The 27,529-nt window shown below is 52.3% G+C and overlaps 3 pseudogenes across 1 annotated transcript in view, besides 1 other annotated feature; 2 read left to right on the forward strand and 1 right to left on the reverse strand.

Moving 5' to 3' along the window:
* PDCD6P1 (PDCD6 pseudogene 1) overlaps nt 1-22,517 on the reverse strand; it is a 36,449-nt pseudogene extending 13,932 nt beyond the window's left edge. The window contains exons 1-2 of the transcript NR_003713.1: nt 22,320-22,517; nt 21,357-21,418 (exon numbers count right to left, since the gene is read on the reverse strand). The product of NR_003713.1 is annotated as a PDCD6 pseudogene 1 (transcript). The remainder of the gene's footprint in view (nt 1-21,356; nt 21,419-22,319) is intronic.
* On the forward strand, nt 3,121-3,460 carry LOC100132773 (serine/threonine-protein phosphatase 4 regulatory subunit 2-like; annotated as a pseudogene).
* On the forward strand, nt 7,990-8,950 carry LOC112267946 (uncharacterized; annotated as a pseudogene).
* Nucleotides 22,217-22,436: a silencer, noted in NCBI's record as "silent region_15886". NCBI's record gives its function as "represses an Ori minimal core promoter by ATAC-STARR-seq in GM12878 lymphoblastoid cells {active_cell/tissue: GM12878}" and the evidence as "EXISTENCE:reporter gene assay evidence [ECO:0000049][PMID:35858748]".

Consider the following 27,529-nt stretch of genomic DNA (forward strand, 5'->3'; position numbering starts at 1 on the left):
AAGTTTAATTTGTCAATCTTTTATGAATCATGCTTTTGGTGTCATGTCTAAGAACTTTTCGCCCAACCCCAGGCCATACAAATTTTCCTGTGTTTTTATCTAAGGGTTTTATAGCGTCATGTTCTCCATTTAGGCCTGTGATAAATGTTGAGTAACATTTTGTGTCAGCCATGGCCATACCTTTCTCCATCTCTGACAGTATCGTGGGCGTTTGCAGCTCCCAGTGCCTCGTGCTGTTCCCGTCTTCTTGATCTGCTCTTCCTGTCATACCTTTCTCCATCTCTGACAGTATCGCGGGCGTTTGCAGCTCCCAGTGCCTCGTGCTGTTCCTGTCTTCTTGATCTGCTCTTCCTGTCATACCTTTCTCCATCTCTGACAGTATCGTGGGTGTTTGCAGCTCCCAGTGCCTTGTGCTGTTCCCGTCTTCTTGATCTGCTCTTCCTGTGAGTTCCAGGGCATGTCTTAGTGCTGGCGCTGTCCTGGTCCATCAGGGGGTCCTGTGGGCTTGTCCATGTGGGAAAGTCGGGACTGTGATGTTGACGGGATGCTTTGTGAGTCAGGGGGAGGTGCTGATGGGGGTTTCCCTGTAGGAGAGAGAGGTGTTTGGTTTTCCAGATGGTGCAGACTTGAGAGGGGACAAACTTGAGAAATGCCACCAAGGAGAAGCCCAGGCAGAGCAGGTCTCGGGGCCGCCCAGCTGTGTGGGAGCCAAACGTGGATGTGTCAGTGGCCATGCCAGGAGGTAAACCCTCAACCAAGGGCCTCTGGGTGTCCAAGGCCAAGTCTTATTCAACAGGTGCCTTCAGCTGAGCCAACCATGGCAGAAATGCATAAGGGAGATCCCATGGTTCCTCTGTTTAAATCCCCTGCTAATCCCACCCAACTCAGAGAAGGAGCCAAGTCCTCACAGCAGCCTGCCACCCCCGCCTGACTCGGCCTCCTCTGGCTCTGATTCTCCGTACCCTTCTATCCCTCTCTGTCTCTTCTCCCACCAGAGAGGAGACCCTGCACATTCATCCTGGTGGATTCAAACCCATCTTTGCCACACAGATAGTCACCACAATGAATAGGTATAATCTAGAAAGAGTCCTTTTGAAAAAGAAAAAGGCAGGCCAGGCATGGTGGCTCACGCCTGTAATCCTAGCACTTTGGGAGGCTGAGGCTGGAGAATCACCTGAGGTCAGGAGTTTCAGACCAGCCTGGACAACATGGTGAAACCCCATCTCTGGTAAAAATATAAAAATTAGCTGGGCATGGTGGCGGGCACCTGTAATCCCAGCTACTTGGGAGGTTGAGGCAGGAGAATCACTTGAACCCAGAAGGTGGAGGTTGCAGTGAGCTGAGATCGTGCCACTGCACTCCAGCCTGGGCAACAGAGTGAGACTCTGTCTCAAAAACATAACAATAGGAATAATACAAGAAAACTGCAAATTCAAACAACTTAACAGAAACTGGGCAAAAGAGCTGACCGGCCCTCCACAGAAGAGGAAATGTGGAGGAATGGCTAATGAAAACATGAACAGGGGCTCAGCCTAACAGGGGGAGATATCACATGACACCCACCAGACGGGCAAAAATCCCACCACCCACAACTCAATCAATGCCAGTGTTGGGGAGAATGGAGAGAAGCAGGAACACCACGCCCTGCTAAGAACGGTTGTGAAATCTATTTTGTTATGCTTGTATATGAAAGAATGTATGTTGTGGGTTATGAGGAAAGTTACATTTCTTACCTGGGATGAAATTTTAAAACTTGAAAGCTACTGACCAGAAGAAACTTGCACTTGTGTACAAAAGAAACGCCCAAGAACGTTCCCAACAAAACACAGTCCTCAGGGCCCCAACCTGGCCACACACTCATCCACAGGAAGATGGAAGACATTTCCCATGCTCCCCTCAGACGATGGGAAATCATGCAGCAATGAAAATGAACCGTGTCAGTGTGGGAGGGTCTCAGGGAGAGAATGGAGACGGGAGATCACGCAGCAGTGAAAATGAACCACGTCAGTGTGGGTGGGTCTCAGGGAGAGAATGGAGACGGGAGATCACGCAGCAGTGAAAATGAGCCATGTCAGTGTGGGTGGGTCTCAGGGAGAGAATGGAGACGGGAGATCACGCAGCAATGAAAATGAACCGTGTCAGTGTGGGTGGGTCTCAGGGAGAGAATGGAGACGGGAGATCACGCAGCAATGAAAATGAACCACGTCAGTGTGGATGGGTCTCAGGGAGAGAATGGAGACGGGAGATCACGCAGCAATGAAAATGAACCACGTCAGTGTGGGTGGGTCTCAGGGAGAGAATGGAGGACAGAAATAGACATAGAGCAGATGCTCAGAGCCATGCAGGGCAGGAGCAGCCACGCAGGAGAACTTCCTTACATCAAAGTTCAAAACTACAGCCGAGGCAACAGAGCAAGACCCTGCCTCAAAAAGAAAACAGAAAGTTCAAAAACTAAATGGCATATTTTTTAGGGATGTGCAGATACGTGGTGAAAGAAACGTACTATGAAGAAAAGTGTGGGAATAATAAAGACTAAAGCAGGAACTGATTCCCTCTGCAGGAGAAGGGAAGGGACCCGGGACTCAGGCAGGGCCTCCAGGGAGCATCCACAGTTATGTTTCTTGAGATTCTACTCCCTAAGCTTGGTGGAGGTCCTCTGTGTCCAATGTGTCAATATTCTTTATACCTTACCCATACTGTACAAATGCTTTATTTCTATTCAACATTTAGAAGGCAGTTATAAACAAGATGCATTCAATAGCAAGGTGGCAGATGAACATCAGGAAGGAACATCCATGAGCTTCCATCCACGGAACCTCACCATGGATACGCTTGTGATCAAGGGCCTGGTCTCCCCTCAAGACACGGTCAGAGATCAGAGGCCACACCATCATGGCAGTGGAGCAGGACCAGCTGGGACAGGGTTCTTCTGTGACACCTGCTGCATCCCCAGGCTGTGTGAACGGACTCAATTGCCAGAACTCACAGAATAGCAGTATCAGCGCCGAAACCTCACAGGAAAAATGGTAAGTTCTAAGTTTCTCCACTAATAGTAACTCTCAGATTAATCTCTGTCATCCATTGCTTCTCCAAGAAATAACTTTTTAGGGTGACGTGCCAGGCGACATGTTGGAGGGTTGGTGGTAGTGGCTTGGGGAGATGCTCGCTCTGTTGGTCTCACTCTCTCACATGCTTCCCCTGGCTCCCTTCGTTCCCCCCACCCCACTTGGCCTGCATGCGGGAGTGTGTGCGAGGGAGTGGGAGGACGTCGGGGGGTGAGGGAAGGCATTCTGGTCCCCAAGAGACCCGCGGAGGAAGGCAGAGGCTGTGAGGGACTCCGGGAAGCTATGGACGTCGAGAGGCTCCAGGAGGCGCTGAAAGATTTTGAGAAGAGGGGAAAAAGGAAGTTTGTCCTGTCCTGGATCAGTTTCTTTGTCATACAGCCAAGACTGGAGAAACAGATTCAGTGGTCCCAATTTAAAGGCTATTTTATTTTCAAACTGGAGAAAGTGATGGATGATTTCAGAACTTCAGCTCCTGCGCCAAGAGGTCCTCCCAACCCTAATGTCGAATATATTTCCTTTGATGAAACAAAGGAAAGAATACTGAAAACTGTCACTGGATTTAACCGTATCCCTTTTACTATTCAGCGACTATTGAATTGTTAACAGATCCAAGGAGAAACTATACAGGAACAGACAAATTTCTCAGAGGAGTAGAAAAGCATGTGATGGTTGTTAGCTGTGTTTATCCTTCTTCAGAGAAAAACAATTCCAATAGTTTAAATCGAATGAATGGTGTTATGTTTCCTGGAAATTCACCAAGCTATACTGAGAGGTCTAATATAAATGGGCCTGGGACACCCAGGCCACGTAATCGACCAAAGGTTTCTTTGTCAGCCCCCATGACAACAAATGGGTCGCCTGACAGCACAGACAGCAAAGAGGTAAATTTGCAGCAAAATGAAGAGAAAAATCACAGTGACTCTTCGACATCTGAATCAGAAGTTTGCTCAGTGAGCCCTCTGAAAAATAAACATCCAGATGAAGATGCTGTGGAAGCTGAGGGGCATGAGGTAAAAAGACTCACGTTTGACAAAAAAGGCGAAGTCAGAGAAACAGCCATTCAAGCGACTTGCAGCGAAATTTCTTCGGTTATGGTAGAAGAAACAGAAGCATCACCTTCATCTCAGGATAAAGACAAAGAAAGCCGTTGTACCCGGCAGCACGTACAGAAGAGGATGAAGAAGAGGATGAAGAGGAAGAAGAATATATTGAGAGACCATCTGTAAAAGGGAGGAGTAAGAAGATCCTCAAATTCTTGTATTCATTGCTTTCGTGAAAGAATTGTACATAATAGAACTCCTTGTAATGCCGACATTGGGCTTTTCTCCCACCTGTATGTAGTTGTTGCTGAATTTCAGGGGATGTGATTTGAACTACAGAACATCAGAATTCATGAAACTTAACTGTGGAGGTATTTTGAAAATAAAATTTAAGTACAACAACATTTGCTTATTTTTAGAGTCTTTTATGATATCAAGAGAAATGATCCCGGAAAGAAAAAATCAAGAAAAAGAATCTGATGCCTCAACTGTGAATGAAGAGACTTCTGAGGAAAATAATCAAATGGAGGAATCTGATGTGTCTCAAGCTGAGAAAGATTTACTACATTCCGAAGGTAATGAAAACGAAGGCCCTGAAAGTAGTGGTTCTTCTGACTGCCGTGAAACAGAAGAATTAGTAGGATCCAATTCCAGTAAAACTGGAGAGATTCTTTCAGAATCATCCATGGAAAATGATGACGAAGCCACAGAAGTCACCGATGAACCAATGGAACAAGATTATTTAGAAACATTTAGATGCAGTATTTTACGTACAGTTCTGGTTTTAACGCCGTATAAAACTTTTATGTAAAAAAGTGGACCTTTAGTTTTACAAGAAAAGCAGGTTGTAAAATAAAGTACTTTATGGATAATTCCTGGAAGAGTTGTACATGTAAGAACTGTGAATATCAGCTCCTCTGGGTCCTGCTTACCTTACCGCTGATCTTTCTTTCTTTCTTTCTTTTGGTCTGGGCAAATCAGTGGTTTGTGTATAGATTTTTTTTTAAATTTAGGATTAAGGTTTTTAAACTGGAAGGTAATCATAATGTTGAAAAGTTTTTTGAGATTGTCACATTTAGTTTATACATATGCAAGAAGGTTTTTGTCTTGTCTCTTTCTGATAGCTCTAGCAGTTTTCATATTTTGGTCATAGTTTCAACATTTTAACATGTGAATAATAGGGTTTCATGCTGGTTTCCAGATGTTATTGTTCAGCTACATACAATGGAACATTAAGTTATATTCTAAGGGGGGAAATGTTATATTTTTCTGTTTCTATAAGAGATGAATACAGTGGATACTTTTTCTATTGGTAATGATTGAGTTCACCTCTTTCAGAAGACATTTTCTTTCGCTTCTGAGTAACTGAAATAAAATCTGGCCTTTGTGAAACCCTGGAAATACCACGACCCACAACTAGAAACACCAATACCAGCTCCTCCACGAGTTTCCAGCTCCACAACCTAAGACATCAGAGGCAGCATTGGCTCCTCACCCAGATTCCAGCTCCGGGACCCTCATATTTGAACTGCAGGACCATCTCATCCCTGGATCTCCAGCTGCACCACACTCAAATTAGAACAACATCAGCTCCTCTCCAGGTCTCCACCTGCACAGCCCTCGAACGGGAACGTCAGCTCCTCCCCGGGTCTCCAGCTGCACGGCCCTAAAACTAGAACATCAGCTCCCGCCCGGGTCTCCAGTTGCACCATCCTCAAACTGGAACATCAGATCCCCACGGGTCTCCAGCTGCAGGGCCCTCAAACTGGAACATCAGCTCCCCACCAGATCTCCAGCTGCACGGCCCTCAAACTGGAACATCAGCTCCCCGCTGGGTCTCCAGCTGCATGGCCTGCAAACTGGAACATGAGCTCCCCGCCGGGTCTCCAGCTGCATGGCCCTCAAATTGGAACATCAGCTCCCCACCAGATCTCCAGCTGCACGGCCCTCAAACTGGAATATCAGCTCCACCCTGGGGCTCCAGGTGCACAGCCCTCAAACTGCAACATCAGCTCCCAGCCGGGTATCCAGCTGCATGGCCCTCAAACTGCAACATCAGTTCCCCGCCGGGTCTCCAGCTTCACGGCCCTCAAACTGGAACATCAGCTCCCCGCCCAGGTCTCCAGCTCCACGGCCCTCAACCTGCAACATCAGCTCCCCACCGGGTCTCCAGATGCATGGCCCTCAAACTGGAACATCAACTCCCCACCAGGTCTCCAGATGCACGGCCTGCAAACTGGAACATCAGCTCCCATCAGATCTCCAGCTGCACAGCCCTCAAACTGGAATATCAGCTCCACCCCGGGGCTCCAGGTGCACAGCCCTCAAACTGCAACATTAGCTCCCAGCCAGGTATCCAGCTGCATGGCCCTCAAACTGCAATATCAGCTCCCAGCCAGGTATCCAGCTGCATGGCCCTCAAACTGCAACATCAGCTCCCCCCCGGGTCTCCAGCTCCACGGCCCTCAAACTGCAACATTAGCTCCCCGCCAGGTCTCCAGCTTCACGGCCTTCAAACTGGAACATCAGCTCCCCGCCCAGGTCTCCAGCTCCACGGCCCTCAACCTGCAACATTAGCTCCCCACTGGGTCTCCAGATGCACAGCCCTCAAACTGGAACACTGGCTCCCCACCGGGTCTCCAGCTGCATGGCCTTAAACTGGAACATCAGCTCCTAGGCCCTCAAACAGGAACATCAGCTCCCCACAGGGTCTCCAGCTGCACGGCCCTCAAATTGCAACATCAGTTCCCCCCTGGGTCTCCAGCTGCACCACCTCAAACTGCAACATCAGCTCCCTGCTGGGTCTCCAGCAGCACGGACCTCAACCTGGAACATTAGCTCCTACCCACCCGGGTCTCCAGCTCCACGACCCTCAACCGGCAACACTGGCTCCCCACCGGTTCTCCAGATGCACGGCCCTCAAACATCAGCTCCCAGCCGGGTCTCCAGCTGCACGGCCCTCAAACTGGAACATCAGCTCCCCGCCAGGTCTCCAGATGCACGGCCCTCAAACTGGAACATCAGCTCCCAGCCAGGTATCCAGCTGCATGGCCCTCAAACTGCAACATCAGTTTCCCCCCGGGTGTCCAGCTTCATGGCCCTCGAACTGGAACATCAGCTCCCCACCCAGGTCTCCAGCTCCACGGCCCTCAACCTGCAACATCAGCTCCCCACCGGGTCTCCAGATGCACGGCCCTCAAACTGGAACATCAACTCCCCACCCAGGTCTCCAGCTCCACGGCCCTCAACCTGCAACATCAGCTCCCCACCGGGTCTCCAGATGCACAGCCCTCAAACTGGAACATCAACTCCCCGTCGTGTCTCCAGATGCACGGCCTGCAAACTGGAACATCAGCTCCCGTCAGGTCTCCAGCTGCACAGCCCTCAAACTGCAACATCAGCTCCCAGCCAGGTATCCAGCTGCATGGCCCTCAAACTGGAACATCAGCTCCCCGCCCAGGTCTCCAGCTCCACGGCCCTCAACCTGCAACATCAGATCTCCACCGGGTCTCCAGATGCACAGCCCTCAAACTGGAACACTGGCTCCCCCCCGGGTCTCCAGCTGCATGGCCTTAAACTGGAACATCAGCTCCTAGGCCCTCAAACAGGAACATCAGCTCCCCACAGGGTCTCCAGCTGCACGGCCCTCAAATTGCAACATCAGTTCCCCTACTGGGTCTCCAGCTGCACCACCTCAAACTGCAACATCAGCTCCCTGCTAGGTCTCCAGCAGCATGGCCCTCAACCTGGAACATCAGCTCCCACCCACCCGGGTCTCCAGCTCCACGGCCCTCAACCGGCAACACTGGCTCCCCACCGGTCCTCCAGATGCACGGCCCTCAAACTGGAACATCAGCTCCACCCCGGGTATCCAGCTGCACGGCCCTCAAACTGGAACATCAGCTCCCCACCAGGTCTCCAGATGCACGGCCCTCAAACTGGAACATCAGCTCCCCGCTGGGTCTCCAGCTGCACGGCCCTCAAACTGGAACATCAGCTCCCCGCCGGGTCTCCAGGTGCACGGCCCTCAAACTGGAACATCAGCTCCCCGCCAGGTCACCAGCTGCACGGCCCTCAAACTGGAACATCAGCTTCCCGCCGGGTCTCCAGCTGCATGGCCCTCAAATTGCAACATCAGCTCCCAGCAGAGTCTCCAGCTGCACGGCCATCAAACTGGAACATCAGCTCCCCCGCGGGTCTCCAGCTGCACAGACCTCAAACTTGAACATCAGCTCCCTGCCGGGTCATCAACTGCACGGCCCTCAAACTGGAACATCAGCTCCACCCCTGGGTCTCCAGCAGCATGGCCCTACAACTGGAACATCAGCTTCCCCCCCGGGTCTCCAGCTGCACAGCCCTACAACTGGAACATCAGCTCCCTGCCGGGTCTGCAGCTGCATGGCCCTCAAATTGGAACATCAGCTCCCCGCCAGGTTCAAATTGTTCCAGTTTGAGGGCCGTGCAGCTGAAGACCCGGTGGGGAGCTGATGTTCCAGTCTGAGGGCTGTGCAGCTGGATACCCGGTGGGGAGCTGAAGTTCCAGTTTGAGGGCTGTGAAGCTGGAGACCCGGTGGGGAGCTGATGTTCCAGTTTGAGGGCCATGCAGCTGGAGACTCAGTGGTAGCCGATGTTGCAGTTTGAGGGCCGTGCAGCTGGAGACCCGGGTGGGAACCGATGTTCCAGTCTGGGAGCCATGCAGCTGGAGGCACTGCGGGGAGCAGATGTTCCAGTTTGATGTTCCCCCCTGGGTCTCCAGGTGCACGGCCCTCAAACTGGAACATCAGCTCCCCACCGGATCTCCAGCTGCACAGCCGTCAACATCAGCTCCTCCCCGAGTCCTCAGCTGCGCAACCCTCAAGTTAGAACATCAGCTTCTCCCCAAGTCTTCAGCTGTGCGACCCTCAATCTAGAACATCAGTTCCTCTCTGGGTCTGCAGCTGCAAGACCCTGAAACTACATCAGCTTCTCTCTGGGTCTGCAGCTGCAAGACCCTCAAACTACAACATCAGCTTCCCTCCAGGTCTCCAGTTCCGTGACCCTAAATCTAGAACATCAGCTCCTCCGAGTCTCCAACTGAAAGACCCACAACGCAAACAACTTCAGCTCCTCCACAAGTCTTCAGCTGCACGACGCTCAATCTAGAACATCAGCTCCTCTCCGGGTCTGCAGCTGCAAGACCCTCAAACTACAACGTCAGCTCCTCTCCGGGTTTTCACCTCCATGACCCTCAATCTAGAACATCAGCTCCTCCCTGAGTCTCCAGCTGAAAGACCATCAAAGTGAACATCATCAGCTCCTCCCCGAGTCTTCAGCTGCACGATGTTCAATCTAGAACATCCGCTCCTGTCTGGTTCTCCAGCTGCACGACCCTCAAACTACAACCTCAGCTCTTCCCCGAGTCTTCTGCAGCATGATCCTCAATCTAGAACATAAGCTCCTCTCTGGGTGTCCAGCTGTAGGGACCTCAAATTAGAACGTCACCTCCTCCCAGAGTCTTCAGCTGCACGACCCTCAATCTATAACATCAGCTCCTCTCCGGGTTTCCAGCTCCATGACCCTAAAAATACATGAGCAGCTCCTCCCTGAATCTTCAGCTGCACAACCTCAAATTACAACATCAGCTCCTGTCTGCATCTCCAGCTGCAGGGCCCTCAAACTAGAATATGAGCTCCTCCCCGAGTCTTCAGCTGCACGACCCTCAAACTAGATCATCAGTTCCTGTACAGATCTCCAACTGTAGGGCCCTCAAACTAGAACATCAGCTTCTCCCCGAGTTTGCAGCTGCAAGACCCTCAAATTACAACCTCAGCTCCTCCCGGAGTCTTCAGCTGCACGACCCTCAATCTCGAACATCGGATCCTCTCCGGGTCTGCAACTGTAGGGCCCTCAAACTATAACATCAGCTCCTCTCCGGGTCTGCAGCTGTAAGGCTCTCAATCTAGAAATTCAGCTCCTCCCCGAGTCTTCTGCTGCACGACCCTCAACCTAGAACCGCAGCTCCTACCCGAGTCTTCAGCTGCATGACCCTCAATCTAGAAAATCAGCTCCTCTCCAGGTCTGCAGCTGCAAGACCCTCAAACTAGAACATGACCTTCTCTCCAGGTCTCCAGTTCCATGACCCTAAATCTAGAACATCAGCTCCTCCCTGAGTCTCCAACTGAAAGACCCTCAAGGCGAACAACATCACCTCCTCCCCAAGTCTTCAGCTGCAAGACCCTCAAACTAGAACATCAGATCCTCTCCAGGTCAGCAGCTGCAAGACCCTCAAACTAGAACATCAGCTCCTCTCCAGGTCTGCAGCTGCAAAATACTCAAACGAGAACATCAGCTCCTCTCCAGGTCTGCAGTTGCAAGACCCTCACACTAGAACATCACCTCCTCTACAGGTCCACAGCTGCAAGACCCTCAATCTAGAACCTCAGCTCCTCCCCGGGTTTTCAGCTGCAAGACCATCAAACTAGAACCTAAGCTCCTCCCCGAGTCTTCAGCTGCAAGACCCTCAATCTAGAACCTCAGCTCCTCCCTGGGTCTTCAGCTGCATGACCCTCAATCTAGAACCTCAGCTCCTCCCTGGGTCTTCAGCTGCATGACCCTCAATCTAGAACATCAGCTCCTATCCAGGTCTGCAGCTGCATGTCCCTCAAACTAGAACATCAGCTCCTCTCCAGGTCTCCAGCTGCATGACCCTCAAACTAGAACATCAGCTCCTCTCCAGGTCTCCAGCAGCATGACCCTCAAACTAGAACATCAGCTCCTCCCCGGGTCTTCAGCTGCATGACTCCAAAATTAGAACCTCAGCTCCTCCCCGAGACTTCAGCTGCACGATCCTCAATCTAGAACATCAGCTCCTATCCAGGTCTGCAGCTGCAAGATTCTCAAATCAGAACATCAGCTCCTCTCCGAGTCTGCAGCTGCACGACCCTCAAACTAGAACATCAGCTCCTCTCAGGAACTGCAGCTGCAAGACCCTCAAACTAGAATATCAGCTCCACTCCGGGCCTGCAGCTGCAAGACCCTCAATCTAGAACCTCAGCTCCTCCCCGGGTCTTCAGCTGCATGACCCCCAAATTAGAACCTCAGCTCCTCCCCGAGTCTTCAGCTGCATGACCCTCAATCTAGAACATCAGCTCCTATCCAGGTCTGCAACTGCACGTCCCTCAAACTAGAACATCAGCTCCTCTCCGGGTCTGCAGCTGCAAGATTCTCAAATCAGAACATCAGCTCCTCTCCGAGTCTGCAGCTGCATGACCCTCAAACTAGAACATCAGCTCCTCTCTGGAACTGCAGCTGCAAGACCCTCAAACTAGAACATCAGCTCCTCTCCGGGTCTGCAGCTGCACGACCCTCAATCTAGAACCTCAGCTTCTCCCCAGGTCTTCAGCTGCATGACCCCCAAATTAGAACCTCAGCTCCTCCCCGAGTCTTCAGCTGCATGGCCCTCAACCTAGAACATCAGCTCCTATCCAGGTCTGCAGCTGCACGTCCCTCAAACTAGAACATCAGCTCCTCTCCAGGTCTCCAGCTGCACGACCCTCAAACTAGAACATCAGCTCCTCTCCGGGTCTGCAGCTGCAAGATTCTCAAATCAGAACATTAGCTCCTCTCCGAGTCTGCAGCTGCATGACCCTCAAACTAGAACATCAGCTCCTCTCTGGAGCTGCAGCTGCAAGACCCTCAATCTAGAACCTCAGCTCCTCCCCGGGTCTTCAGCTGCATGACCCCAAAATTAGAACCTCAGCTCCTCCCCAAGTCTTCAGCTGCACGACCCTCAATCTAGAACATCAGCTCCTGTCCAGGTCTGCAGCTGCAAGATTCTCAAATCAGAACATCAGCTCCTCTCCGAGTCTGCAGCTGCACGACCCTCAAACTAGAAACATCAGCTCCTCTCCGGAACTGCAGCTGCAAGACCCTCAAACTAGAATATCAGCTCCACTCCGGGTCTGCAGCTGCACTACCCTCAATCTAGAACCTCAGCTCCTCCCTGGATCTTCAGCTGCACGACCCCCAAATTAGAACCTCAGCTCCTCCTCGAGTCTTCAGCTGCTTGACCCTCAATCTAGAACATCAGCTCCTATCCAGGTCTGCAGCTGCACGTCCCTCAAACTAGAACATCAGCTCCTCTCTGGGTCTGCAGCTGCACGACCCTCAAACTAGAACATCAGCTCCTCTCCGGAACTGCAGCTGCAAGACCCTCAAACTAGAATATCAGCTCCTCTCCGGGTCTGCAGCTGCATGGCCCTCAATCTAGAACCTCAGCTCCTCCCCGGGTCTTCAGCTGCATGACCCTCAAACGAGAATATCAGCTCCTCTCCAGGTCTCCAGCTGCACGACCCTCAAACTAGAACCTGCACGACCCTCAAACTAGAACATCAGCTCCTCCCTGGGTCTGCAGCTGGAAGATCCACTAACTAGAACATCAGCTCCTGCCGGGTCTGCAGCTCTGTGACCCTCGATCAAGATTACCAGCTCTTCCCTGAGTCTCCAGCTGAAAGACCCTCAACGTGAACAACATCACCTCCTCCCCGAGTCCTCAACTGCACGACCCTCAAACTACAACATCTCCTCCTCCCCGAGTCTGCAGCTGCACGACCATCAATCTAGAACATCAGCTCCTCTCCGGGTCTGCAGCTATAAGAACCTAACCGTAGAAGATCAGCTCCTCCGTGGGTCTGCAGCTGGAAGATCCACTAACTAGAACATCGGCTCCTGTCCAGGTCTCCAGCTCCATGACCCTCAATCAAGATTATCAGCTCCTCCCTGAGTCTCCAGCTGAAAGACCCTCAATGCGAACAACATCAGCTCCTCCCCGAGTCCTCAGCTGCATGACCCTCAAATACAACATCAGCTCCTCCCCGAGTCTTCAGCTGCACGACCCTCAATCTAGAACATCAGCTCGTCTCCGGGTCTGCAGCTGCAAGAACCTAAAACTAGAACATCAGCTCCTCCCTGGATCTGCAGCTGGAAGATCCATTAAGTAGAATATCAGCTCCTGTCCGGGTCTCCAGCTCCATGACCCTCAATCAAGATTATCAGCTCCTCCCTGAGTCTCCAGCTGAAAGACCCTCAAGGCGAACAACATCAGCTCCTCCCCGAGTCCTCAACTGCATGACCCTCAAACTACAACATCTCCTCCCCGAGTCTGCAGCTGCATGCCCCTCAATGTAGAACATCAGCTCCTCTCCAGGTCTGCAGCTGCACGACCCTCAATGTAGAACATCAGCTCCTCTTCAGGTCTGCAGCTGCAAGACCCTCAAACTAGAACATCAGGTCCTCTCCAGGTCTGCAGCTGCAAGACCCTCAAACTAGAACATCAGGTCCTCTCCAGGTCTGCAGCTGCAAGACCCTCAAACTAGAACATCAGCTCCTCTCCAGGTCTCCAGCTGCACGACCCTCAATCTAGAACATCAGCTCCTCTCCGGGTCTGCAGCTGCAGGGCCCTCAAGGTGGAACATCAGCTCCTCCCCAAGCTAGAACACCTCTCCCACCTGGATCTCCAGCTCCACGACCCTCACAGAACAATCCCTTCTCATGAAATTCAGCAGTCAAGAAATCTGCAGCGGAAGTAAATGAATAAATGTTTTGTTTTCAAATCGATATCTCTTTTATGTTCGTGAGTTAACTTTTCTACTTTCCATTAGCCTTGCAATCTACTTATGTCCAATGTGAAATAGAAACACACCATTTGAAATCACGTTTAAAATCTTAGTAATATTTTTAAATAAAATCATCACACAGCTGTAGACACGATCTTATTTCTCTCTGCCTGTGCAGAAATCTTATGAAAATTCGAACTATGAATTTACTTTGTTGAGATTCCCAGAATACACATTAATCCCAACTGTTACTCCCCTCCTTAAAATCTTTTAACATATTCCCATCACCTGAGCATAAATGCCAGCTCCCATCCACAGCCCAAAGTGCCCAGCACGGCCCTGCCCTCTGCCCTGGTCTATGGTCTCCCCTCTTAAATGCCAGCACCATCCACAGCCCACAGTGCCCAGCACAGCCCTGCCCTCTGCTCTGGTCTAAGGTCTCTCCCCTGTGCTGTTCCCTTCCTGCCGGGCAGGCCTCTGTCCGTTCCTCAAACCACACAGGCTCAGGCCTGACTCCAGGCCTTTGCCCTGCTGTGCCCTCTGCCTAGGGTGCCTTTCCCGGGCTCTGCATCCTCCTCTCAACCCGCTGAGCTCCAGCCTGCTGGTCGCCCCTCAGGTGGATGAACACATGGTGTCCTCTCGCCCCGCTGGCTTTTGCACAGGCTCTTCTCTGTGCCAGACACAAACCCTCTCTATCGGGGTTTACTCTCTAAATACCATTCGTCCTTGGAGTCTCCACTGAAATATCGCTCCCTGCCCACCCCCCTCCCTTGGACTTAACCTTGGTTAGGTTGCCAACCCCCGTCTCCTGACTCCGGGAAGCTAGATGCTCTCCTAGCACTCGGAACTTGCCCATCGCCACATTTGCACACCCGTGATTACTGGGTTAGGTTGGTGCACAAGTCATCGTGGTTTTTGCCATTACTATTAATGAACTGCAGCACCGGCTCCTCCCCGTTTTTTTTTTTTTGCCATTACTTTTAATGACTGCTGCACCAACCTATTAGAATCATTTATATTTATTCATCCATCATCTGCCTTCCCCTCTAGAAAGGAAGCTCCATGAGAATAGAAGCCAAATCTACTCAAATCACTCCACCTTCCCACACATTGTCAATAATCATTTACCAACTGACTGATAGAGAAATGCCTTCCCTGTTGCTGGGATGAGGCACATGACACGCCCCTTTGAAAGTCACTGTCATGGACAGTTGGCATTCGCTCTTCACTGCTGTACCCGTGGCGTGGCTGGGTTTAGGCTGATCTAGTCTGGCCTTGACTCCAGGCTGAGGATGGGAACCATGCCTGCTCCACATGCCTCTCATCCCACAGCCAGAGCCGCCGTTCCCTGGGGCACGCACATCTCGTGGGGAAAATCAAGAGCCTTAGAGGGCAGGCCTGGCAGCGCCACACATTCCAGGCTTCTGCTTCTGCCGTGTCTGTGAAAATCTCATTGGCAGAAGCAAGTCACCCAGCCACGAGCCACACCTATGGGATGGATAAGTCCATCCACCCTCCCTCGGGCCCTGGCAAGGTTGTGGCTATGTCATACTCTTATGGGGGGAGTGAAAAATTGAGGCCCAACATTAAATCACCCACGCAAGAAATGTCAGCCTCTGTCCCCACGCTGGAATCATTCTTCACCAGCCGGTTTGCCTGAATTCCCTTTGCAATGGTGTCTGCAGGTTTAGGCCAATGCTGTTCCCCGTGGAGGACAGAGAAGCCTCAATGGGCCTCCATCTGTTGGGAAGAACAAGATATTAGCTTGGTGCAAAACCACCGCAAGCCCCAGGGGGCCCTTGTGCCATGAGACAGGAGAGGGGCAGAGAACTGTGAGAACTCAGGAAACTTGCATCCCCAGCCCCTCCCGTGCATCCCCAGCCCCTCCCCCGTGACCCCAGCACCAGTCCTCTTCCCCTGCTTGCCCCATCTCTGCTTTCTTTTTTTCATTTTCTTTCTTTCGTTTTTTTTGAGACAGGGTCTGGCTGTGTCACCCAGGCTGGAGTGCAATGGCACGATCTCGGCTTACTGCAGCCTTCACCCCCTGGGCTGAAGCAATTCTCCCTCCTCAGCCTCCCCAGTGGCTGGGACTACAGGTGCATGCCACCATACCCAGCTAATTTTTATTTTATTTTTATTTATTTATTTATTTATTTATTTATTTATTTATTTATTTATTTATTTTTGTAGAGACAGGATCTGCCATGTTGCCCAGGCTGGTCTCAAATTCCTGAGCTCAAGTAATCCTCCCACCTCAGCCTCCCAAAGTGCTGGGATTACAGGCATGAGCCACCGAGTCCAACCTACTTTATTTTTCTCTACAGTACTTGGAACCTTCTAATGTACTAAGGACACGTGTATTTTCTTTCTTTTTTGTCTTCCCTAGAACAGGAGCTTAATGTGGGCAGGTATTTTTGTTGATCTCATTTATCACCCTATCCCCAGTGCCTGGAACAGGGTCTGGCACATGAATGGTGTGTTCTAAATAAATATTTTTAATAGATAAATAAATGAAATATCCTACAAGAGAAAGCTAGTATCTGGAACTCACCCATCAACAGAACCTAAAAGCCAAAGACCTTTAGCCTGTCTCTGCCTCTGAACACACCCAACCCCGGAGGAGCCAGCAGAGGAAAAAGAGGAACAAAGGCGGGGAAGGGAGCAGGTGGTGCCCACCAAGTAAGGAACCCTGAGGCTTAGGCCGAACCTGAGCTGGAGAAGGGACTCATCTAGGAACTGGGTATGAGATTAAAGTTTAGACTGGTCTGGCCTGGATTTTGTAACACCTAAACAAGGGTTAGTCCATTCTTTTTTTGTGTTTTTTTTTTTTTTTTGAGATGGAGTCTCACTGTCCCCCAGGCTGGAGTGCAGTGGCGCGATCGCAGCTCACTGCAACCTCTGCCTCCCAGGTTCAAGTGATTCTCACGCCTCAGCCTCCCGAGTAGCTGGGATTATAGGCGCACACCACCATTCCCGGCTAATTTTGTATTTTTAGTAGAGATAGGGTTTCACCATGTTGGCCCCCTGGCTCACGCCTGTAATCCCAGCACTTTGGGAGGCCGAGGTGGGCGGATCATGAGGTCAGGAGATTGAGACCATCCTGGCTAACACGGTGAAACCCCATCTCTATTAAAAATACAAAAAATTAGCTGGGCATGGTGGCAGGTGCCTGTAGCCTCAGCTACTCAGGAGGCTGAGGCAGGAGAATCGCTTGATCTCCAGATGCAGAGGTTGTAGTGAGCCAAGATCAATGCCATTGCACTCCAGCCTGGGTGACAGAGCAAGCCTTCAGCTCAAAAACAAACAAACAAACAAACAAACAAAAAACCTTCAAATGAATGTAAGAATTATTATTTTTTAAAGTACAGCTTTAAAAATGCCCCTTACAAATACATCAGTGTTATATTAAGGCAAACCCACTTCAGAAGCACAAAGTTAATTTCTTATAATTCCAAGAAATATGTGAATGTTAAAAAAAACCCAAACACCCGAAAAGGGATCAAACTCAAGATAGTTTGTAACATTTTATTGCAAAAAGAAGGGCAGAGAACAGTCTTTTTCTTCGTACCTGTTCACCGCAGTAATTTTTAGCAGCTCTCCTGTGCAAAGAAGTCTAATCAATGAATCAGCGTATAGGCCACAAATACCTTCTCAGTGCGGTTTCACCTAGAATACAAGCACTCAGAAGCACAAATTTAACTGAAGTGAGAAACCAGGCCATTTTGTAGCTTCAGTTTTTCTACCAGTAATATATTAATTTCTTGAAATAGCCTAATAATTTAGTTCTACTATCAAAACAGAAGCCCAATCTGGGAGAACAATTATTATAGAAGTCAAACTAATTTCAATCATATTAGTATACAAATTCATATTAGCATAGCCTAATAATTCATATTAGTAGAGGTGGGAGGATCACTTGAGCCTAGGAGTTTGACACCAGCCTGGGCAAGACAGTGAGACTCCATCTCTACTTTTTTTTTTAAATAAAGAAATTCAGAGAGGAGAAGGAAGTGGATTGATATGTGTCTATCCAAGGACAAATTTTGTGTGCCTGTACATACAACTCAACTATGAACCTTCCTTCACACAGCTCACAATCTAGTAGCGAGAGGGAATTACGAAAACATGAGCCCCCACGATGAGGAAAAAGGCGCATATCAGAGAAAAGAAAAATGCTGCGATGATCCAATGGCAGGAGCAGCACGCATCCACTTTCTTTGTTTTTTTGAGATGGGGTTTCGCTCTGTCTCCCAGGCTGGAGTGCCGTGGCTTGATCTCAGCTCAATGCAGCCTCAACCTCCCAGGCTCAAGTGATCTTCCCATCTCAGCCTCCCAAGTAGCTGGGAATACAGGCGTGCACCACTACACTTGTTTAGTTTTTGTAGAAACAGGGTCTCACGATGTTGCCAAGGCTGGCATCCTGAAGGGCGGGTGGGGCTTCATCCTACAGAGATGAAAGGCAGAAGAAGCTCAGAGCCCAAAGCAAAGGGGTGGAGGACAAGGGCATCTTCAGAACAGAGTGGCTCGGCTGAGACATCCAGTAGGATGCCACCAGGCAGAGGTGTGGTGGAAAAACACAGGGCCACGGTGAATGCTCACATGTGAGGAGCAAACCACCACAGAACACAACAGAAACACGGTGTACTAAATCAGGCTTCAAATCGCAGCCCTGCAACTTCAGAGCTACCGCAGGTAACCCAGAAAGGGAGCACGGACAGCACCGCCCACTGCCTGAGGCTATGAGATGGACCAGAAACCTGTGCTTACTAACAACCTGCCTTATTCCAGAAAGAATTCAGGGAACACAAAGACACTCACAGTACAGCAAAATAAAGTAAATGTGAATCATGTTGGCTGAGGAGAAAGTGAAGAGTCTAAGACTATGTCATAAAGTTTACCTCTACTCTAAACTCTCATTACTGGCGAGCCACCAATCTGACTTTAAGTTTTCTACCAGCTAAATTGAAGAGGAAAATGTAATCAGGTAAAGGTTTATAAGATGCAAACAAAAGAGAACAGCCACCACAGTTTCTGAGAACACACGCAGCTCCAGCTCCAGGAGAAACAGGGTGGCCATCTCCTGGGGCTGCCCCACAGCAGGCGTGTGAGCCCCAAAGCCAGCGTCTCTCAGGGTGAACGGTGACTACGGGCTTCATGGGGCCACACGCCTCCAGTACAAGCTGAGGAAATCTCCCAGGGCAATTCAAGGAACAGGGTCTCACAATGTTGTCCAGGCTGGTCTCAAACTCCTGGGCTCAAGCGATCCCCCTGCCTCGGCCTCCCAAAGTGTTGGGAGGTCAGATGTGAGCCACTGCATCTGGCCCCGCATGCACTTTATAGAGGAGGGCTTTGCATCCTGAAGGGCGGGTGGAGCTTCATCCTGCAGAGATGAAAGGCAGAGGAAGCTCAGAGCCCAAGGTAAAGGGGGGCGCCTAACAAAAGCGACTCCATTGGGACCACAGTGAGAGGGTCCCGACACACAGCTTGGGTTAAGCCAGACACTGATTTCAAAGTATCTCAGGAATGGTGGACTCAGCACCTGTCAGGCAATTCTCTCTCTCAAGCAGTCTCCTGGTAGATATTTAGTAGCAGCTGAAATCAAGATTATGTTCTGACTGACACTTGCTGATGGTTAAAGAGCTATATATGCTTTGAGGACCAGCTGAACTGGGGCAGGACTAATGCCCTCTGGTGAAAATACAGGAACCCAAACACACAAGTCAGAGCAGGAGGTGTCTCCCCAAACCCCAAACAATAATGCTGACCTTGGATTTGGGTTAAGTGCCTAGCCCAGCATGTGAGTGTTCAGTAAGTGGAAACCATCATCACCATCATCAGGTAATGGAAAACCATCAAAGCTTTGAGCTGGCTTGTTAGCCAAGAATAGTAGCAGTGTATTAGCTACTACTAATACTCACAGCTGACAATTACTGACCACTTGTTCCGTGCCAGGAATCACGGAAGCACCTCGCATGCATTTCCTCAATACTCCCTCCCAGTAACAGCAAGGACACAAAACTGGTAGAGCCAGGACTGGAATCCAGGCCGGCCCCAAAGCACTCCAGTGGAGCCTGCCAAGGTGGGCAGGCTACCATACTAATGCGGTCCAGTATTTGACCACCACTCCTAGTTGAGCAAGTTTAACAGAAAACCTAAAACTAAACCTAAAATCTAAAAATTTGAGCAAATGCATAAAAAGCAGGCTGTTAAAATGGATCATAAATCTTGCATCACTCGCTGGAAAACCACTCAAAATAAACGTCTCTGAGACATGGCCTCTGAGGAGGGCACTCTGTGTGGCTCATATCACCTTGCTGACAAACCACTTGAACCTGGGTGGTCATCTGACCATACTGAACAGACGATGCACAGAGCCATTTGCATCCACTGTGGTCAACATTTAGGAAGTTTTAAGCTAAGATTTGCCAAATTGTAGCCTACTGGATTCCGGGTTCTCTTGACATCTCTTTCTAGTCGCCATGTCTTGCACTTCCCGAGTATAAATGAACTGAGATGCAAATAAAAAAAGGAGGATTTAAGAATAATGAAAAGAGAAAAATCAAGAAAGCACAATCACTAGTGTAGAGATAACAGCATTTCTGAATTCCCTGAAAACAATCTATATAAATGCATGTGAAATAATACACCAGCATCTGTGGCCCACACGCCACATATTAGGAACGGATGTCATAATATAAGGTAAACATGTTACTCTGAAAACACAAATCCTCACAAATCAGGCAGTAAGGCTGAATCCAGCACCCCCCCCACCCACAGCGCAGTGAGGCAGTGTCTAGCAGCCGTAGTGCTCCCCGCGTCCCAGTTCAGTCTCCGGCAACATCAGATACTTCCCACTAATAACGAGGAGCCTTTCAACATTTTCACAACATCTCAAAACTGACCCCTTTTCTAGCTTAAATGGCACGGATCTGGAAAGGCAAACTATACACAGAATCTAAAGCAGTAGTCAGGTGTTCAATGAAGTAAAATGTATCCAATGATAGCTCAGGGGAGGGGGATCAATTGAGCTGAAACTGGCAAGAACGTAACTCCAGGGAGCTCACAACACGCAAGGACCCGGATTTCCCGCTGCCTGAACGCCCAGTATTCGCACACTGATAAGAACACCTCCCCATAACTCCCCTGCCAGCGCCTCCAACACCCCCAATCCTTTCCCCAGGAACCCAGTCCCAGTTTCTGCAGTTCCTGTAACAGCCACGTTCCCACACAAGGGCTGCCTGAGCTCCCCAAGCCCTCCAACAATCACCCCCCAGTGCCCTCGAAGGTCTATTCAGAGAAGTCACCAAGATGCAGTCACCCAGGAAATTCAAGGACCTCCAACTTACCAAAAGGCTTTCGGCTGTACAGAGCTAAGCTTCCTATTCCCCTCCTAAACCTACAATCTAGTTTTCATTTCTCAAGAAGCCTTTCCCTGTGCTCACGCACGCAGTTGTTACCTGGCTCGGTGAGGCACTCCAAGCAGTAACAGCGGTAGCCACAAAATAAACCAGAAGCATCTCCACCATGAAGCAGTATTAACAATTTGTCCTAATGATTCCTTTGTCCTTGGAAAAACAACTTCAGAAAGTTATCCACTGTGAACAGGGCAGGCTCACGGCTTCTTGGTCCGGAGACCCAGTTCCCACTGGCCCACTCACCGTTGGAGAGAGCTTGCTGAAGCTCGGTGTCTGATATCACTCCACTCCTGTCTTTATCGACCCTATAACATCAAGAAGACCAAATAAGCTGGCGATCGAAAGTTCAGGAAAAGCAAAACAAACGTCTCCTGTCAACCCTGCACCGACTCTGGAAGGCTCCCTCCTGGAACCTCCGCCTCTCCCGTCCCGCTGAGGAGTACAGCGGAATCAAGGAAGTGCCCCAGGAGCCGACGTCCAGTGTGGTCTTCCCCTAAGAGGACAATCATCTTCACCTCAATCCTTCCCTTCCTTCCTCTCCTGGCCTGTCTGAATTCCCATTTGCACCAGTTTCCCTTTTTCACAGACAAGAAAAGATTCCCTCAGATAACTAAGCCATTCCCTGGCCATCAGTCACTACAGTTTCGGACATTCGGTGGAAAAGCGACCAGGGACAGAAGGCGCCACCATAAAGGTCACCTGGCCCGAGCAGACGCCAGGTCGCTGCTTCTTCCTTGGCTGCTGACATTTTAACAGCGGCCCAGACAGTCTGTTTCCGCTTTCCCCAAACAAGCACCCTGGAGACCCTCCACCTGGCGGCTCTTGAGGCGAGAAAAAGGGCCTAGCCCAGGAGCCGGTGGCCGCGACCTCGGGTCTGCAGTGGCGCACTCTGCATCTTGGGAAGGGCCGACGCACAGGACAGGGACCGGGCAGGAGGCAGGGGCGGCCCCAGGAGACCGGGCAGCGGACGGGGGAGACCGCGGGGGACCCGCCAGGGGACGGGGGCGGCCGCGTCGGCTGGGGCAGGGGTCGGGGGAGGCGGCGGCGGTCGGGGCAGGGGACGGGGGAGGCCGCTGGGGACACGGCAGGTGACGGGGGAGGCCGCGGGGCAACCGGCAGGGAACGGGGTTGGCCGCGGGGGTCGGGACAGGGGTCCGGGGCGGCTGCGCGGGAGGCGGGAGATGCCGGGGCGGTGCCAGCCCGCACCTCTGGAAGACGTTCCACAGGAAGCTCTGGTCGGGCAGCGCCGCGCCCGCAGCAGGCCCAGGGCCGCCCGGGGCTGGGGCGGTAGGAGTAGGCAGCCAAGGGCCAAGGCCCGCCGCTGGGCTGAAGCGCCTGCGGCGACTGGCGACCCCTCAGAGCGACACCGCTTCCGCCTCTGCTGGGGGCAGGGCCGGGCGTTACCGCCACTTCCGGGGGCGCAGGAAATGCGCGTTGTCCGGGATGCACAGGCCGCCTGCGCGCGGGCCGGGAAGGCGCTTGGAGACAATGTCCCGTGCTGCGACCCGGGACAGGCAGTGATGGAGCAGGGACTTAGTTTGCCTTTTAGTTCTTGTATGAAAAGAAGTTTTGAGGTGAATGTGATTCACGCTAACAGTCGGAAACTCTGGGCGGGGCGCGGTAGCTCACACTTGTGATCCCTGCGCTTTGGGAAGCGGAGGCGGCCGGAGCTCTTGAGCCCAGCAGTGCGGACCAGCCTGGGCAGCGTGGACCAGCCTGGGCAGCGTGGACCAGCTTGGGCAGCGTGGCTAGACCCCATCCCTACAAAAATTACAAAAAGTAGTCCGGCGTGGTGGGCTCCTGTGGGCCCATCTACTCCGTGGGCTGAGGCGGGAGGATGGCCTGAGCCCGGGAGGTCGAGGCCGCAGGGAGTCGAGATCACTGCCCTCCAGCCCGGTGGATAGCGAGACAATGAAAAAAAAAAAAAAAAAAAAAAAAAAAGCAGGCCGGGTGCGGTGGCTGACGCGTGTAATCCCAGCACTTTGGGAGGCCGAGGCCGGTGGATCACCTGAAGTCGGGAGTTCAAGACCAACCTGGCCAATATGGAGAAACCCAGTATCTACTAAAAATACAAAATTAGCCGGGCGTGGTGGCGCACGCCTGTAATCCCAGCTACTTGGGACCCTGAGGCAGGAGAATTGCTTGAACCCGGGAGGGAGAGGTTGCAGTGAGCCGAGATCAGGCCATTGCACTCCAGTCCCGGGCAACAAGAGCAAAACTCCGTCTCAAAAAAAAAAAAAAAAAAAAAAAGGCAAAGCACAATTCGCGTGGGAAGGGCAGTGTGCAGCATTCTCCGTTGTCTGTTCCGCCCCCAAAAGCTTCCCTCCTTTAGATTTAACCTGCGGCCCCGCGCTCTGCATCAGCGCGGTCCCCGACCCGTGCAGCTGGAAACACTGGGCGCCTCCCTGCCGCGCCCCTTCCCGCCCCGGTGGTGGTGCAGCCCTGCCTCCCTCAAGACAGCACTGCCTTCGTGCTGGACACAGTTCTGTGGTGGAGCCTGGAGTGCCTGTAGCACAAATCCCGGAGTTGGGAAGTGCCCACCTTTGGGCCAGTGTGATCCCTGGGTCTTTCCCGCACGGGTGGTCTCATGCGGCCTTCCACTCCAGTCCTGTGTCCTGTGCCCCGGTTCAGAATACTACAATTATTCTCGTTATTTCATGGGGTTATTCCAGCTTTTCAGTTTCTTCAGTGCCTCATTCCATGAATGCTTTTTTCATCCTCCTAGTTCCTAGGGTTGTCTCTGAATATTCACCCAGTTGCCTACCAAGATGTTGTCTGTGTCTACTGCAGGGGATGGTGCAGGTCTGAATATCTTACTCACAGCAGCCACTGTGTCTACTGCAGGGGACGGTGCAGGTCTGAATATCTTACTCACAGCTCACCTTTTTGGTGCCTTTGATCCGTGTTAGGAATTATCCACATCTTCTCTCTGGGCAGTATTCTACTTTCTTTTTATATTGACCCAATTATTTTACTTCTTTGGTGTGTCCTTTCTCCTAAAACATATGGGTTCACTTTGAAACCTTGAAACCCACATTTACAAAAACATTTTCAATAGGAAACATCGTTCCATGACTCATTAGTGGAGTACTATAAACATTTACATTTCCAGACCACCCACTGCCCAGTGGTTTTCTTGGTCTCAGTACTCATGAAAATGGTCTGAAGGTTTGTTTTGGGTTCCTAAGCAGTAGACACACACACAACACTGCCTGTCAGTTATTTCTTGGAAACTAAATCAGCCCTTCTGTTGCCATCCTATCATGCTTCAGGGGTGCCTGTGCTAGTTTTTAATTCTTTGTCCTAACACTTAAATGTTTGTTCAAACGCCCATATTAATACTTCCTCTTAGTTTACAAAAGGATTTACTTTCTTACTGGTTGGGATGAAGCTGCCTGAGGTTGCCACCTGTTACTTTTCCTTCATTTATTGGACCATGTCATCCCATTACATGTCAGCCATGGAGGTTTTCAAACTGTGGTCCCTGGACATGTTAGAAATGCAAATTCTCAGGCCGAACCAGGACTGAATCGGAAGATCTGGGGTAGGGTCCCTCCAGGACTGAATTGGAAGATCTGGGGTAGGGTCCCCCCAGGACTGAATCGGAAGATCTAGGAGGGTCTGGTGCTGTGCACCCCGACATTCCCTCACTACCCCACTGCCTCTCCCTGCCCTGTGGTCACCACAGCAGCCGCCTCTGCAACCTTGACCATCAGCATGCAGGTCCCAGGGCTTGGGGGTCTCCTAACCCGTGCACCCCGACATCCCCCTCACTACCCCACCGCCTCTCCCTGGCTCTGCCTCTGCGTGGCTCCTCTCCTGCTGCCGCCAGAAGGTTTTTGTAAAGCCCGACTCAGGGCGTGCATGGCCTCTCCCTCTCCCACACGTGGGCTCCCTGTCCCCTCCAGCTCAGCAAACACACAGCGCATCCAGGAGCCACGTGGGACCACAGTGTCCCATGGCCGGTCCCCCAGGTCCCTTGGATGTCTCACCCTGGTGAGCCCCTCGCCCCGGCTCCCTCCAGGAAGCCCCCATCTCCCCATACAGAAGGGATCTCTTCCCTCCTGAGCCATCGGTGCCTGACCCTCCCTCTCCTCTGTCGCCCCATTTGTGGCAGGTCAGCCACACCCGTGAGCCCCGGAGCTCTGTGAAGGCCGTCACGGCTCCTTATGATGGCGCCCAAACAGTGCAGGTGGCCGGAAGCTGTTCCCTGATGAAAGAAAGGAAGAGGAAAGGAGGAGGGAGGGAAGAAGGCCTTTTCTTGTCCCAAGAGACTTCTGTAGGAATTTTTGGGTGATACTGAGCATGGTAGACCCAGGTCATCTTTCCATGAGAGGGGCCAGAGTACAGCAGGCTCAGCCGCGGTCAGGGGCTCAGGGCGCCGGGGAAGCATTCGCGTGGGCTGCCCCCACGAGCCGCCTTTGCTACCAAGACCCACTCTTCCAGCCAAGCCTTGGGCCGGCCTTTCTTTCCCTTCGGACAAGGTCTTCAGTCCATGGAGAGGATGGCCCACCTCCTGCCCCTGCGTCAGTGTGTGGCCCCAGGGAGGAGCTGTGTGAACCTGGGAGGTGCTGGGGAGCGAGGGTGCTCCACCAAGGGAGGCAGGAGGCCAGAGACCAGCCCAGGCCAGGAGGAGCCTGGCCAGGAGTCCCACCAAAGCCACTGGACCCGGGCAGCCTCCAGTGACCCAGCCTTGGAGGGTCAGCACTGTCCCTAGGACAGATTCCACTTCGCACACAGGTCTCGCTGTCTGTGGGGGCGGCAGGCCCTGATGCCTGGGCACACAGACTGACGGCAACCCTCGGGGTGGGAGGCCCCAGATGGGACTTCCTGGCCTGCCCGGGGTGGCGGGGTTGTGGGAGAGGATGGCGCGTCTGTGCGCATGTGTGAGAGCATCAAGGATGGCATGTCTGTGAAGATGGCTTCTCCCAGCCGCGGCTGCCTTCCATGTGTGGGCAGTGGTGGGGGAGCCATGACTGCATGGGACAGCCTTTTCCGTGTGGTTTTCCTGCCTGTGATCCCTTTCCTGGGCTGAGGAGCCTGGCTCTGGGGCTCAGGGTGTGGGGTTTGCTAGCACCGGCTCCTGCTGTAGACATCCTAGTGGCCCTGGCACAGGCATGTCCTCCAGCATGGTTCCTAGCCTCCCCCCCGTCACGGGACCCCTAGGCCCCTGAGGGTCGGTAGGAGTGAGGCAGGCAGTCACCAACTGTCCTTGGGTGAGCCTAGTGGCCAGGGGTGGACCCAGCAGGTGCAGGCCAGGCCACCCCCAGCAGGTGCAGGCCAGGCCACCCCCAGCAGCCGCCCGAGCCCGTGTCTTTCCCACCGCACAGCACAGCCGGGACATGGGGGTCAGGCCATTACTTGTGCTTCTAGTTCTTAAATCACCCACAACTCACCCCTAACCTGTGCCTGACTGTGGCGCCCACAGCCTGGGCTCCACATAAACACAAGCCAGGAAGTCCCATCTGGAGCCTGCCACCCCGAAGGTTTCCAGCAGTCTGGGCTCCCCAGGCACCGGCCCTGCAGCCCCCACAGACAGGGAGACCTGTGTGTGAAGTGGAATCCATTTGAGGGACAGCGCTGACCCTCCAGGGCTGGGTCACTGGAGGCTCCAGTGGCTTTGGTGGGACTCCTGGCCAGGCTCCTCCTGGACTGGGCCTGGGCTGGTCTCCGGCCTCCTCCCTCCCTTGGTGCAGGACCCTTGCTCCCCAGCTTCCTGGGAAATCCGACGCCATCTGATCCCCGCACGCATCCAGCACCCCTGACGCTGACGGAGTTGCCTTTTTGCGTGTATAGCTCCTAACAGGGCAGCACGGCCATTCTGAAACCTCGCACATTCTCACTGGGGTGGCTGAGGCTGGGCCACCGGGTGTTCACCTCCTGACCCTGGAACCGTGCACAGGACCTCTCTTCAGGTAGGAGGCAGGTCTTTGTGGCCGTGATTAAGTTAAAGATCTTGAGATAAGGAGGTCATTCTGGATTAACCCGTTGGCCCTAAACGCATGGCAAGAGGCAGAGGCAGGTTACACAGAGGCAGAGGGAGGTTAGACGCAGACAGAGTAGGAGGCCACCTGGAGACCGAGGCAGAGGCGCAGCAATGCAGCCGCGGCCCAGGGACGCCTGGAGCCACAGAAGCTGGCACAGGTGGGAGGGTCCTCCCCTGGAGCCTCTGGAGGGAGCACGGCCCGTGGACTCCTTGATTTCAGACCCCTCGCTGCTGAGCAGGGAGAGAATGAGCCCCTGTTGTTTCGAGCTGCCCAGGCTGTGGGGATCTGCCATGGCAGCTCCAGGACCCTTGGACCCTCGGCTCGGAGCCCCTCCAGCACTGAGCAAGACGACCACTCAGGGCCACCCCTCCCCGCCCAGCTGGTGTGTGCCTCGCTGCTTACCCGAGCATGCTGCCTTCAGTTACAGAT

Source organism: Homo sapiens, chromosome 5 (genome assembly GCF_000001405.40).
Source record: "Homo sapiens chromosome 5, GRCh38.p14 Primary Assembly".
In the NCBI taxonomy this organism is placed as follows: Eukaryota; Metazoa; Chordata; class Mammalia; order Primates; family Hominidae; genus Homo; species Homo sapiens.